The sequence below is a fragment of the Homo sapiens genome, chromosome 5 (genome assembly GCF_000001405.40).
Source record: "Homo sapiens chromosome 5, GRCh38.p14 Primary Assembly".
NCBI lineage: Eukaryota > Metazoa > Chordata > Mammalia > Primates > Hominidae > Homo > Homo sapiens.
Window position 1 is genome coordinate 178,230,643 of NC_000005.10, and position 12,085 is coordinate 178,242,727.

Genomic DNA, 12,085 nt, shown 5'->3' on the forward strand with positions numbered 1-12,085 from the left:
CAGCCAAGGGGGCTGGTGGTAATCTTGATTGTCAAAGGCCAAGGATAATAACAGTGAATATGTACTGAGAGCTCACCATGTGCCAGGCACATTCAGAGCAAGCTACATAAATTAACACACTTAATTCTCCAAACACCTTAAAGTGGGTACCTAGTATCATTATGTCTTTCACAGATAAGCAAACTGAGGCACTGAGAATTAAGTAACTTGCCCGAGATCACAAGTTAGTAAGTAGGGGACAGGGATTTGAGCCCAAGCAGTCTAAGACTAGAGTCTCTGCTTTTTTTTTTTTTTTAACCTCAACTTTATTCATCTTCCATGTGCCTGCTGAGTCTCAGACTCCCTTTCTTTCCATCAGCTCTGGCAGCCTCATCAAGATGACTGAATTCCTACTTCAGCTCCCTTGCCTAGCACCTGAGATGGCCAATGGGGCTGAAGCACTGCCATGACCCCAGCACTTGGCCAGCACTGTGCTACGTTGCTGGTCACAGCTGGGCCATCTGCCACTTTGTGAGCTCATCATCAGTCCCAAGTGGAACTAGACTCACAGACCTAGATTGCTGACCCCTGCCTGGTTTAGCACAGCTCCAGATTGCAGAATTCCACAGCTATATTGCGAAGGCTGAGCCTCCTCTGCATACTGACAGTGCCTCAACTCCACCCAGGTTCTCCACACCTCTCGGCAATCTCAGGTCACCTTGGGACCAGGTTCACAGCACTGCCTTCCTCTCCTGCCCTGCCAGCCTGAGGTGTGATACTGACCGTGCGCCACATTGCTGATGCAATCGATGTATTCTGCCCCCTGTTCATCGTACATGTACTGCCCTTGGGCCCGGACAATCTTAACAGGATCCTCGGGAAAAAAGAGTCTGCAGGAAGAGCTGTGGGGACAGGCAAGGAGTGGACAGCCATGTCTGAAGACCGAAAGGGTGAAGTCTACTCATCGCAGACCCCCGCCCACCCCTTCCCAGTTTCTGGTGGCGGGGGGGAAATGAGAGCTGGAAGGGCAAGGTGCTGCTTCCCTGCCTTGTCTCTCCACTCCACAGGTGGTTGCAAAGCAGGAAGCAGATGGGGTAACAAGTCGCTGAAACTTCGGATTGTTTCTGAAAGCATTTTCAGCCTCTGTGGCCTCCTTGCTCATTTCTGCATGTGTCCGCGTCAGTCTCCCGGATCCTGAGAAAAGGTGGCTGCCCCGTCCCATGGGGACTCCATAAGGCCGCGTGTCTTCGATGGGATGGGCCAGGGCACCAACATTAGGTGCCTGGCTCTCAGCCCTAAACAGCTCCTTGCCAGCCACGTGGCCCTGCTGCCCCTCGCTGGGTGCCAGCCCTAAGCTCCAGTGGGAGGCGACCTCACCCACCGTCCCACCGAGGGCCCCCTCACAGGTCAAGTGTGCTGCCTGTGAACCGACTCCCCCGACTCTCCCTTGTCTGCCCTTTCAGCCCCCTCCCAGGTCACTCTCGAGCCAGGCCCAGGTGCTGCTGACGGGCCACCCTGGGTGAGGTCCTCTCAGGCGCCAGGGTGAAGGTCTTCTCCGGAGTAAAGGCTGCCAAGCGAGGCTGACACAGCCGAACAGCGGTGAGGGCGGGGCCGTCTCCTGAACTGGGCGGCCTGGAGACGGCGCTGTCGGGGAGGCGGCCCCGGAGACCACCCGCCGGGACTGCCCAACGGCGCCGCCCGCCTCGGGCCCTAGAAGCTCCAGCGGGGCCGGGGCAGCGGCCGGACGGGATGGGTAGCAGCGGCTTCCTAGCCGGAGGCGCGTGCGTAGTGCGTGCGTGCGTGCGTCGTGCGTGCGCGTGCCTCTCCGCGCAGCCCCGCGCCCCCCGCCGCCCGCCCCCCGCCCGGGTACCTGATGAGCCGTTGCCTCAGGGCCAGCGTGTCGGCCTTCGGGCGCTGGTCTGCGGCCATGGTGGGTGGCCGTCAGTCGGTGCCGTGACGCCACGCGGAGACGTCGCCGCGCGGGCTGGGCCTCCAAGGCCCCGCTCCGGGCCCCGCCCCTGCCTGGGTCGGGATTTGGGGCTCAGGTTCGCACTCGGCCCCGCCCCGAAGCGCCCGCGTTGCGGTGGTTCATTTCTTCGCTTGCCCACTGGGCCTGGCAGCCTTCCGGCCCGTGGTCGTGCCTTGGCAGTCCCGCGCAGGAACTCGAGCGCTGCCCCGTCTCTGGTTCCGGGACGCGCCCCGGGCCTCGCCCCGCAGGCCCCGCCCCGCAGGCCCCTGCGGCCTCCCTTCCGGGAAAGGGTCCCGGACGACCCCGCCCCTGCTCCCGGCGCCCAGGCGGGGCTCGGAGCTCCTGCAGGCCTTCTCTGGGCCAGACTCAGTCTTTGAGTCGCCTTGTGCATAAAATGGGATGAACTGTGAGGCCTAAGTGCGAGTATGTGACTGGTACCTTACCCGGGCCTGGTACACAGTAGGGGCCTCAGGGTGGGAGAAGCAGGTCCTAGGTTTTCCCAGCCCCATGAAGGGGCAGCAGGAAGAGCAGAAGGAGAGCCCAGGGTCCCTTCTGGGGCTGACCAAGGAGATCACCATGGGCTTGACCTTCAGGGCACCATAGTTCCTGCTAGAATCTAGGCAGGGTGAACCGGACGAGCTGTATCGTCGCTGAGAGAATCATGCAGCGTTTGGGCAAGAAGAGAGGTTGGGAATCCTCCTTGTGGTACATGTCGGTGACCCTGAAGCCCAGAAAGGGAAAGGGTTTTGTTGTCAGACACGCAGCAAGGCTGCAGAGGCTGGACTCCTACTGAGGTCTTCTTGACTCCCAGCCCAGGGAGTGAGAAGAAAAAGCCTCCCAAGGGGCTGGGATATGAGAGAAAAGCCCCCTCCTGGGGTGAGGCACTGGGGCTTTCTGCCTTGAAGAACCCTGGAACACGGGCCTGGGACTGCAGCAGGTGCAGGGGAGGCTCCTGATTGTCCCTTCTTTCTGTCCACATCATGATTCCCAGGCCTCTGCTTCACTCCCTCATTGCTGATTTCTTCTTCTCTTCCCAATACAGTTGTAAGATGCATAAGGCATTTATTGAACTCTTGACCTCAGATGATCTGCCTGCCTCGGCCTCCCAGAGTGCTGGGATTACAGGCCGGGTGAGCCACCGCACCCGGCCGCTTAAGGCATTTATTAAAGAACATTTGGAGTTTCTTTTTTCTTTATTGTGTAAAATATACATAACAAAATTTTACCATTTTAACCATTTTTAAGGATACAATTCAGTGGCAAAAGTACATTCACATCGTCGTGCAGCCATCACCACCATCCATGCAACAGGACTTTTTCATCTTCCCTAAAAGAATGGAATTTCTTATTTTTAACTGTAAAGCTGAATTGAATATTTTACATGATTTTTGGAAAAAATTCTTCCCAAATTAACTGCGAGGTTAACTGCTTGTGGCCTGTATTTTTTTTTTTTTTTAAAGAAAGGGTCTTATTCTGTTGTTCAGGCTGGAGTGCAGCATTGCAGTCTCTACCTCCCTGGGATCATGTGATCCTCCCATCTCAGCCTCTCAAGTACCTGCTACTACAGGTGCACGCCACCATACCCAGCCTGTACTTCGTTTCTGAGGATCAAGACCTCACAGACCGTGTGTGTGTGTGTGTATTTGTGTGTGTGTGAGTCCTATTTGGGCCCCGCCTTTCAGCCCTGTCTTGCAGCCCAAACTCCAGCCACAGCTGTGGCCCCGTGCAGCTCAGAGGAATCAGGTTGGCTCAGGGGCTTTTCCTGCTTTAAGGCAGAGGGTGAGAAGGCTGTAGCTGGGCCCGGCTAACATCTCACCTGCTCCTGGGTCAAGAGGTGATATAGTTGGAGGTCAGACCAGGTTGAGCCATTTCCTGGGCCAGGAGTATCTTATAGCATGGCACAGAACACCAGGAGGCCTCACCTTCTTCCTGCTCAGAAAAGCCCACTCCTTGTCTCTGGCCCTGTGCCAGGCACTCATCTGTCCTTTATTTCATGCCTGGCCCTCTAGGCAATGTTGGAGTCCAAGAGGGTAGGGGATGGAAGTGGCTGAGTCAGGATTTGAACCCAGGGCATGGTGTTTCTCAACAGGGTTGGCACCGGGATTCTTGTTGAGATGATTTGTCACTGGGTAGGACTGTCCTATGCATTTTAGGTGTTTGCTATCCCTGGCCCTGTCCCCTGAATGCCCAGGTGTCCTGCAATCATTGTGCTAACCAGAAGCATCCCATGTATTCCTAGTGGTCTCCTAGGGACCAGGAGGAAAGAGACCTGGTAAGTCCCCTTCACATTCATCTATAAAAAGGGATCGTCATCCTTGTGGTTAGTTTAGCTGTCATGGGACACAGCAGGACTCAGTAAATGTACTTCTCTCTCTTCCAGAAAGGGGTACTTTGAGGCTGTACTGCCTTTCTTGGCAGGAGGCCTGAGGCCCCCCAGTCCTTGAGTCTCAGCTGTGAAGCAGGGTGCTCCCCAGTGTCTCGGCTGGGACCTTGAACAAATCATTGAACCCTCTACCGCCTCTGTGCTCTCCCCGGGCACTTTGAGGACTCAGCCGACTCTACATTTTTAAGCTTGCAGTTGAAACGTTTGCAGCCATCGGGATACAAGGTATGAGACCGCAAGGGGGCAGCAGTGGGCCAAGAATGCCCCATCCTGCCTAAAGGAGCAGGAGAGACCCCCTCAGAAGACTGGGGAAGTGGGGGGAACACATGGCTTCTACCCCACGAGGATCTACCTGCCAATCACACAGCATCATGGAGCTGCCTATCAGATTCCATGCTCTGCCAGACAAGTTTCAGAAGGACGTATTAGAGGACAAACCCAAGAGCCTAGGTGCAGTCCCAAGCCTGCCACTATGTCCTGGCTGTGCATCCCTGGCCAGGTGACTACCCTCTCTGAGCCTCAGTGTTCCCCTATGTAAAATGGGCATATCGACACCTATCACACAAGCCCTGGGCTTCGCAGGGCTGGTGAGGGGATCAAGTGAGGTTCCTGGATGGAGGAAGGAGGGAACTGTGAAGTGTAGCATGCAGATGGTGAGGTTATGCTGGAACTCCAGAGGCGGCATGGACACCCAGTGACCTCCATCAGTCATCACAGCCCCACTGTGTTTCTCTTCCTTTTCCCACTACTGGCTTCCCTGTTGACCCAGACAACTGGCTGAGCGATGTGACCTTCCACTTATTGCCAGTTCCTTAGGGAGACAGAGGAGGGGACTGGATATATCTCTCCCTCCTTAGCCAGTGTGTGGCCGAGCCTCTTCTGCTTAGCAAGGCCATGTCACAGAAGTCTGAGGGTGACCACCCATACTGTGGCCTGCCCTAGGCTTCAGTCCTTGGAGACTCAGACACCATCAGTGCAATGCACCACCACCATCAGAGACACCATCACTGCAGGCCCTTTTTTTTTTTTTTTTTTTTTTTGAGACGGAGTTTCGCTCTTGTTGCCCAGGCTGGAGGGCAATGGTGCGACATCAGCTCACCACAACCTCTACCTCCTGGTTTCAAGCGATTCTTCTGCCTCAGCCTCCCGAGTAGCTGGGATTACAGGCATGCACCACCACCCACCTAATTTACAGGCATTACAGGATTACAGGATTACAGGCATGCACCACCCAGCTAATTTTGTATTTTTAGTAGAGACGGGGTTTCTCCGTGTTGGTCAGGCTAGTCTCGAACTCTCAACCTCAGGTAATCTGCCCGCCTCAGCCACCCCAAGTGCTGGGATTATAGGCGTGAGCCACCGCGCCCGGCCCATGGCCCTTCTTGCCTAGACCACCCTGGATGTGCTTGGTTTTGTCATCTGTAAGACGGTCCCTCTCTTAGTTGTTATAGGGACCAGCTGTGATGACAGAAGTGGGAACACTTTGCAGGACTGTGGCTGTTGCTCAGCAGCCTTGGAGTCAGGAGGAGAGATGAAAATCAGAATTGAGGGTGCTTCTGGGTGAGGGACACACCCTATACTCTTCGCATACTCTGCACTGGATCCTCACGGAACCACAATCTGAGTGGTAAGTAGTGCCCTCTCGTTTCACAGCTGAGGTGGCAGTTTGCATTTTTTCAGAGGGCTGCAACAAGATCTACGATTCCGCATTTTCTCTTTGAAATATGATGTTGACACTTTCCCGTGGAGAGGTGGGGTCTAACTCTCCTCCCTCCACTCTTTCAGAAAGTGACACCACATGACTTCTGAGACTTGGCCCTAAAAGGTGACACAGCTTCCAACTGGCTGACCTGGGACAGTCACTTTTGGAATCCAGCCACCATGTGGGAGGCAGCCTGGGTCACGTGGAGAGGCCACAAATAAGTATTTGCCATCTGAGGTCCCTGCTATAGCCATAAGCAACCATGTGAGAGTCGGAGTGAGAAGCACCCACACTGAGCCCATTAACCACAGACTGCACAAGAGAAATCAAAATGATTTTCTTTCTTTTTTTTTAAAGAGAGGAATTTCTCTATGTTGCTCAGGCTGATCTTTAACTTCTGGGCTCAGGCAGTCCTCCCGCTTCAGCCTGCCCAGCAGCTAGGACCACAGGCACACATCAACCCACCCTACTAATGTTTTTTAATTCTTTACTTTTGGTAGAGATGGAGTTTCACCATGCTGCCAGCCTGGTCTCGAACTCCTGGGCTCAAGTGATCCTCCCACCTTGCCCTCCCAAAGTATTGGGATTAAAAGAATGAGCCACTGTGTCTGGCCAAAATCGCCATTGTTTTAAGGCAACAAGTTTTGGAGAGATTTGTTATGCAGCAGTCTGCTAACCGCAATAGAGGAGCACACAGGGGCTCAATTTGACAGGTAGTGACTTGCCAGAGGACTCAGCTGATGTGTGGCAGGACCAGGCAGTGAATCTGTGTCTTCCGAACTCCAAATCCCATCTTTGCCCTGACCCTGAACTTCCTCCTTTGGTTTCTGGGATGGCTCTTACTCAGGGAGGGTCCCCTTTTCCCTCCCCACCCAGCAGTGGCCAGGATGAAACCACAGCCAGAGGTGCCCCAGGGGCAGTCCACAAGGACAGGCACACCCAGACACGCACTTGTGGTTTATTACACACAGTGATCTCCATCTACACGGAAATGGAAGGCAAGCAGCCAGGATGGAGCTGGTTGCTGGGAACACTTGCTGGAGGTGGAAAAGCCTCTCGTCAGAGCGTGGGTGGGTCTGGTGGCAGGCCCCCTGCTCAGGCCAGCTGGGAACCAGCCCTGAGCTTTGCTTTGCCTGCACAGCCCACCTAGAGAGCCATTTTTGGCCAGAGTTCTGGGTGGGAGACTTGGGGCCAGTGAGACCCAGACTCTGAGTGGGAGGCCTGCCTCCCTGGTCCAGGCCATGTCCTATCTTGTCCCTCTCTGGGTGATAATGGAAACAGAGACAGGAAGTAGCAGTCAGTCCAGGCTGGGCCCCTCCATCCTCGACACTCTGCTCCCTGGAGCTGGGTCCACATCACAGCGATCACAGAGCTCAGCCACTACTCCTGGCCAGAGGACATGTGCTCTCATGGCAGGCTGGCCTCCTGAGGCCTCCTGAATGTGGTAGAGCTAGACCCTCGTGGGGGATTTCCACTCACTGCTCCCCGGGCCCAGCCGCAAGTGCTGGGCGAGTCTTGTCCGGGGGCCAAGTCTTGTCCAACTGCAGAGGCAGCTGGTTGTGGTTGAGTTTGGAGGCTGATGAGGCCAGGAGCAACAGCAGCCGCTGTTCCACCCCTGGGTCTTCTTGGATAGGGTGTGTCCCAGGGACTCCAGAGTTTTGCGGGGGCAGGTTCTTACAGGGCAGTACCACAGCTGAGAGTCTCTCTGCTGATCAGGTGACTGAAGGCCCAACGTAGCATCTTTCTAGCCTTGCCCGAGCCAGGTGCTTCTACCTTCATCTCCTTCCTGGGAAAGCCCAGGCCCAAGGGTGCCCCTCAGGTACACATCTCCCTGGTCTGGCCTGTCCACTTTCCGGCAGCTTCACATGCCGGTGGCTTTGGGGCTGGGTGGGCATACTCTTGAATGTTAAAAGGCCACAGGTAGCGCATTCCATGAAAAAAGATCAATATATTACTGTTTTGTTTTTACAAAAATTAAAAATGTCCACACGGATCTGTACAGGTGTGAGCTGGGCCTGTGGGTCACTGGAAAAGGAGGAAGAGACTGAAGGTGACGAGGAGCCCGAGAAGCTCCGCCCCCATCCAGGCCACCTTGCCTGGCCTCCCCGGTCCTGCCCATTTCCTCCTATCTTCCCTCCCCCCACTCCCTCTCAGTGGGCCAGTTGGGACAATATCCCAGGGGGCACTGATGGCTTTGCCCTGCCTGGTCCAGGTGTCAGTTGAGTCCATGTGACCCACAGGATGGGTTATACACCATCACCCAGGACCACAGCCCCACGCCTCACATGCAAGATGGGAGAGTCAAAACCAGGGTCATGATGGGAAACCTGGCTATTCAGTCACTGTGCGAGAAGCCGCAGACACCCAGAGGTTTGAGTGACAGCACCCAGGCTCTGGGGCCCTCCCATTCCCCCACCCTCCCCTGCCTCTCCCAAGCCTGCCCTGGAGACTTCCCTGCACGGTACCTTATGCCAGCAGCCAGGCACAGGCAGCCCGTCGGGGCCCTGGAAAGGAAGAAGGTTTCAGTGATGGGGATGGGGCCTGGGGAGCTCCTCTACACCCCACATGCCCTCCCCTGGTCTGTAGGGAGGTGCAGGCCAGGGAGCGGCCATGTGAGACTGCTGGGCCCCACTGAGGCAGGGGCACAATGCCTCCTCTGTCCACCCAGGTAGTGGGGTCATGGGGTCATGGGGAACGACGGCCTCTCACTGAGCTTGTCCTGAGTGTGTTCCCTCTGTGCTTTGTGGGGACTGCTGTGCAGTGGGCAGGAACAGGAGGGCACTAGGAAGGGATGAGCATTGTGCCAGACATGTACAGGCTGGCCTGGGTCCTGCCGAGAGCCGTGTGGCTTCCTGTCTGATGTGACAGTGACTCTGGCCTGGGTCCTGCCGAGAGCCGTGTGGCTTCCTGCCTGATGTGACACTGACTCTGGCCTGGGTCCTGCCGAGAGCCGTGTGGCTTCCTGCCTGATGTGACACTGACTCTGGCCTGGGTCCTGCCGAGAGCCGTGTGGCTTCCTGCCTGATGTGACACTGACTCTGGCCTGGGTCCTGCCGAGAGCCGTGTGGCTTCCTGCCTGATGTGACAGTGACTCTGGCCTGGGTCCTGCCGAGAGCCGTGTGGCTTCCTGCCTGATGTGACAGTGACTCTGGCCTGGGTCCTGCCGAGAGCCGTGTGGCTTCCTGTCTGATGTGACAGTGACTCTGGCCTGGGTCCTGCTGAGAGCCGTGTGGCTTCCTGCCTGATGTGACGGTCACTCTGGCTCCTCACCCTGGGGCCTGCGAGCTTTCAGGCCTTGGGCAGGAATGGCTCCTGGAGGGTTTTAAGGATGGCCCAGGAATTGGCATCCTGCTCCAGCCTGTGCTGGCTGGAGCAGGGCAGGCTCAGGTTGCTGGGGGTTGGGGCTGGGCCTGGGGTAGGGCTATCTAGCGGCACCTGTGGTGCCCACCCAGGAGCCAGACATAAGCAGGGGCCGGGTTTCCTCAGGCAGCCTGGAGGGTGGGGAAACTGGAGAGGAACGAAGACTGACTCATCAGGGACACCAAGGCGCAAAACATGTCATTCTGTTCCAAAGCACAGGAATGAGCCTCAGACACTGGGCATCCCCTGGAATATTCCCATGTGTACACCAGGGACCAGGCTAGGCACCAAAGGGAAGGTGGGGAGGGGGGCAGAATGGAAAGGAAGCAGAAGCGAGGAAGGCCGGGGCAGAGCCAAGGGCCCTGGCTGCCCCGAAGGCCCACACAGCACACGGCACACGGCACACAGCAGGCCAGGCCGCCTACCGCAGGGCATGGCCCATTGCCCCTCGCAGGGCCCCGCCAGCCTGGTGCCCCTCTCCGGCCTCCGCACGTGGGATTCTCCTGTTTCAAAGGAGACAAGGGCTTACTGATTTGGAGGGGAGTCCTGGGCCAGGCCCCGGAGCTGCGGGGCTGGGCCACCCTGCCCCTGCTGTCCCCGCCCTTTCTGTGCGCTGACCACTTCGCTCTTCAAGTCCTTTTCTCATTGACTTCTCAAAACTGTCCGAGGGGAGCGGTATCCCCCACTGCAGGGATAAGGACACTGAGGAACAGAGGCCAGAGGTCTGGGAGGGGGTCTCTAACTCTGGCACCGCTGGAGGTTGAGGCCGGCCTGCACACATCCCCGTGGCTGGAGTGGCCACGTCTGAATATCTGTCCAGTTTTAGTACGAAAACCCAGCTGTTCTGTTTTTCCTGTCTTTTCTGAGCTCCACCGGAAGAGTGTGACATGTAAACCCTCCCTACTTTCTAGAAAAAGGAACTAGGCAGGGCACAGTGGCTCACACCTGTCGTCCCAGCACTCTGGGAGGCTAAGGTGGGACAATCGCTTGAGCCCAGACCAGCCTGGACGACATTGCAAGACCCCAGCTCTACAAAAATTAAAAATTAGCTGGGCATGGTGGTGCATGCCTGTAGTTCTTGGCTACTTGGGAAGCTGAGGCAGGAGGATCACTTGAGCCTGGGAGATGGAGGCTGCAGTGAACCATGATCGCTCCAGCCTGGGCGACAGAGTGAGACTCTGTCTCCGAAAAGAAATAAATGGAGCTGACTTTTGAACTGTGGTTGTTTCAGGCACCAGTGCCTGAAACCACTGGGGCTGGTGGGCTGCCAAAGGCCACTGAGAGAGCACAGAAAGAGGTACAGGAAGGGTGTGGGGGTAGGCAGAGGGGATGTGGGGAAGAGGGAGGTGCTGCCCCAGCCCAGAGAGACTCTTCTGGGAAGGAGGAAGGAAGGGGAGGCACAGCCAGCCAGAGAGGTCAGGGTGGTCCCACCGTCTGTGCTTGGGGAAGCTGAGTTTCAGCTCAGCTTGGCCTCAGGCCCAGTGGGAGTCAGACCCCGACTTCCACCCCAGGCAGCCAGACCACAGCGATGGGGCTGGGCACTCACTGCCTCCGCCCCCAGCGGCAGCGTGTCTGTGCTAACTTTGGTTCCCTCCGCAGGGCCCAGCCCCCTCCCAGGGCACCGCTGATGGTGCTGATGACTCCAGGTAAAGCCCCTCCACTCCTGGTCTAGGCCCTGTCCACTTCCAGCCCAAGATGGCCCACAGTGGGTTCCTACTCAAGCCAGGCCTGTCCTGGGGGTGAAGAATGAGGGGCTGGGCCTCCAGCTCTACAGAGGGGCTGGGTTCCCTGAGTCATGCCCATGGTTGGGGGTGGTTAGGACCAGAGCAAGGGGAACCGCGATGATGGCAGTAGCAGCAGCAGTGGCCCTGACAGTGAGGAAGGCCAGTGCGTGACCAGTGGGGCCTCTGGGACTTGCAGCTGAGTTCCGAGGACAGGGAAGATGTTGGGCTGACCCTGGCTGGAGGCCAAAAAGACCTGGGGCAGGGCCCTCCTCCGACACCTACCACGGGACACGGCTGGTCCAGGCCTGGTGGTCCCGGCTCGCCCTTCTGGCCCTTCACTCCTTTCCGGCCGGGGACCCCTCGTTCTCCCTGTGCAGGAGGGGAGATGGTGGTATTGGTCATGGCTGCCAGGCTTAGGAACCTCCAACATCTCTCCGAGAGAAGCGCGTGGGGCCAGCCTCCCCCTGCCTCCGCCCACCTGCCCGGCCTGGGTTCTCTCTACCTGCTTCACCTGAGCCTCCACTCCCACCTGCCTCCTTCCCCCTCTCCTCCTGCCCCAGCTCCCGTCCAGCTGCCCTCACCTTCTCTCCACGCTCGCTCCGATCACCTTTCTCTCCTCGGGGTCCAGGGAAACCCTGACAAAAGGATTAGATGCTAAACCCGAAAATGAGGCTGGAGGTTTGCCCCTCTGTTACCGGCTCATCTCTGTTCCTCTCCCATCCACACGCCCACTTTCCCCCCTGCATATTCGTGGCACACGCTGGCCTAGCCCTAGCTGTAGGTGATACACTGCTGGGTACAAGGCTGATGTAGGAAGAGCATGCATTTACGATGCCAGCTGGGCTTGCTCCAAAGTAGTCGCTGGACACCAACACTCAGGCAGAGCTGCTGGCAAGGGGCTGTCTCTCACATCACAGACGCGGCTGGCACTGGTCTAGGCTTGGCTGGGGACAGAGACCCCGGAAACC

General features: G+C 57.2%; 2 protein-coding genes and 1 long non-coding RNA gene across 42 annotated transcripts in view, besides 9 other annotated features; 1 reads left to right on the forward strand and 2 right to left on the reverse strand.

Annotated features, from left to right (window-relative positions):
- PHYKPL (5-phosphohydroxy-L-lysine phospho-lyase) overlaps positions 1-2,180 on the reverse strand; it is a 25,679-nt gene extending 23,499 nt beyond the window's left edge. For 22 of the 30 annotated variants that reach the window (XR_007058651.1, XR_007058650.1, XR_002956187.2 and 19 more), the window contains exons 1-2: positions 1,850-2,160; positions 763-881 (exon numbers count right to left, since the gene is read on the reverse strand). Coding sequence is in view for 18 of the 30 variants with exons in the window: in XM_011534674.3 (XP_011532976.1) it covers positions 763-881; positions 1,850-1,908 (178 nt within the window). In the remaining 12 variants the exon portion in view is untranslated. 30 annotated transcript variants of the gene reach the window in all.
- Positions 1,585-1,904: a silencer, noted in NCBI's record as "silent region_16718". NCBI's record gives its function as "represses an Ori minimal core promoter by ATAC-STARR-seq in GM12878 lymphoblastoid cells {active_cell/tissue: GM12878}" and the evidence as "EXISTENCE:reporter gene assay evidence [ECO:0000049][PMID:35858748]".
- Positions 1,585-2,394: a biological region, named in NCBI's record as "H3K27ac hESC enhancer GRCh37_chr5:177659427-177659965".
- Positions 1,784-2,322: an enhancer, noted in NCBI's record as "H3K27ac hESC enhancer chr5:177659427-177659965 (GRCh37/hg19 assembly coordinates)". NCBI's record gives its function as "activates a minimal SCP1, AML or CMV promoter by ChIP-STARR-seq in naive H9 embryonic stem cells {active_cell/tissue: H9 hESC(naive)}" and the evidence as "EXISTENCE:reporter gene assay evidence [ECO:0000049][PMID:30033119]".
- Positions 1,985-2,394: a silencer, noted in NCBI's record as "silent region_16719". NCBI's record gives its function as "represses an Ori minimal core promoter by ATAC-STARR-seq in GM12878 lymphoblastoid cells {active_cell/tissue: GM12878}" and the evidence as "EXISTENCE:reporter gene assay evidence [ECO:0000049][PMID:35858748]".
- LOC112267937 (uncharacterized) lies at positions 3,396-8,026 on the forward strand. Of its 2 annotated transcripts, XR_002956238.2 has the most exons (3): positions 3,396-4,556; positions 5,774-5,958; positions 6,117-8,026. It is a non-coding gene; the product is annotated as an uncharacterized LOC112267937 (long non-coding RNA). The 2 variants fall into 2 exon arrangements; XR_002956237.2 differs by having other exon boundaries at positions 5,774-8,026.
- Positions 4,370-4,449: an enhancer, noted in NCBI's record as "active region_23743". NCBI's record gives its function as "activates an Ori minimal core promoter by ATAC-STARR-seq in GM12878 lymphoblastoid cells {active_cell/tissue: GM12878}" and the evidence as "EXISTENCE:reporter gene assay evidence [ECO:0000049][PMID:35858748]".
- Positions 6,820-7,493: an enhancer, noted in NCBI's record as "H3K27ac-H3K4me1 hESC enhancer chr5:177664463-177665136 (GRCh37/hg19 assembly coordinates)". NCBI's record gives its function as "activates a minimal SCP1, AML or CMV promoter by ChIP-STARR-seq in naive H9 embryonic stem cells {active_cell/tissue: H9 hESC(naive)}" and the evidence as "EXISTENCE:reporter gene assay evidence [ECO:0000049][PMID:30033119]".
- COL23A1 (collagen type XXIII alpha 1 chain) overlaps positions 6,976-12,085 on the reverse strand; it is a 352,776-nt gene continuing 347,666 nt past the window's right edge. For 8 of the 10 annotated variants that reach the window (XM_011534691.3, XM_011534690.3, XM_011534688.3 and 5 more), the window contains 5 exons: positions 11,699-11,752; positions 11,400-11,486; positions 9,819-9,896; positions 8,499-8,537; positions 6,976-8,058 (listed from right to left, as the gene is read on the reverse strand). In XM_011534691.3, coding sequence (XP_011532993.1) covers positions 8,056-8,058; positions 8,499-8,537; positions 9,819-9,896; positions 11,400-11,486; positions 11,699-11,752 — 261 coding nt within the window. In that variant the 3' untranslated portion in view covers positions 6,976-8,055. The remainder of the gene's footprint in view (positions 8,059-8,498; positions 8,538-9,818; positions 9,897-11,399; positions 11,487-11,698; positions 11,753-12,085) is intronic. The other 2 variants (XM_047417869.1, NM_173465.4) reach the window with 1 other exon arrangement.
- Positions 7,494-8,167: an enhancer, noted in NCBI's record as "H3K27ac-H3K4me1 hESC enhancer chr5:177665137-177665810 (GRCh37/hg19 assembly coordinates)". NCBI's record gives its function as "activates a minimal SCP1, AML or CMV promoter by ChIP-STARR-seq in primed H9 embryonic stem cells {active_cell/tissue: H9 hESC(primed)}" and the evidence as "EXISTENCE:reporter gene assay evidence [ECO:0000049][PMID:30033119]".
- Positions 8,173-8,222: an enhancer, noted in NCBI's record as "active region_23744". NCBI's record gives its function as "activates an Ori minimal core promoter by ATAC-STARR-seq in GM12878 lymphoblastoid cells {active_cell/tissue: GM12878}" and the evidence as "EXISTENCE:reporter gene assay evidence [ECO:0000049][PMID:35858748]".
- Positions 10,223-10,342: an enhancer, noted in NCBI's record as "active region_23745". NCBI's record gives its function as "activates an Ori minimal core promoter by ATAC-STARR-seq in GM12878 lymphoblastoid cells {active_cell/tissue: GM12878}" and the evidence as "EXISTENCE:reporter gene assay evidence [ECO:0000049][PMID:35858748]".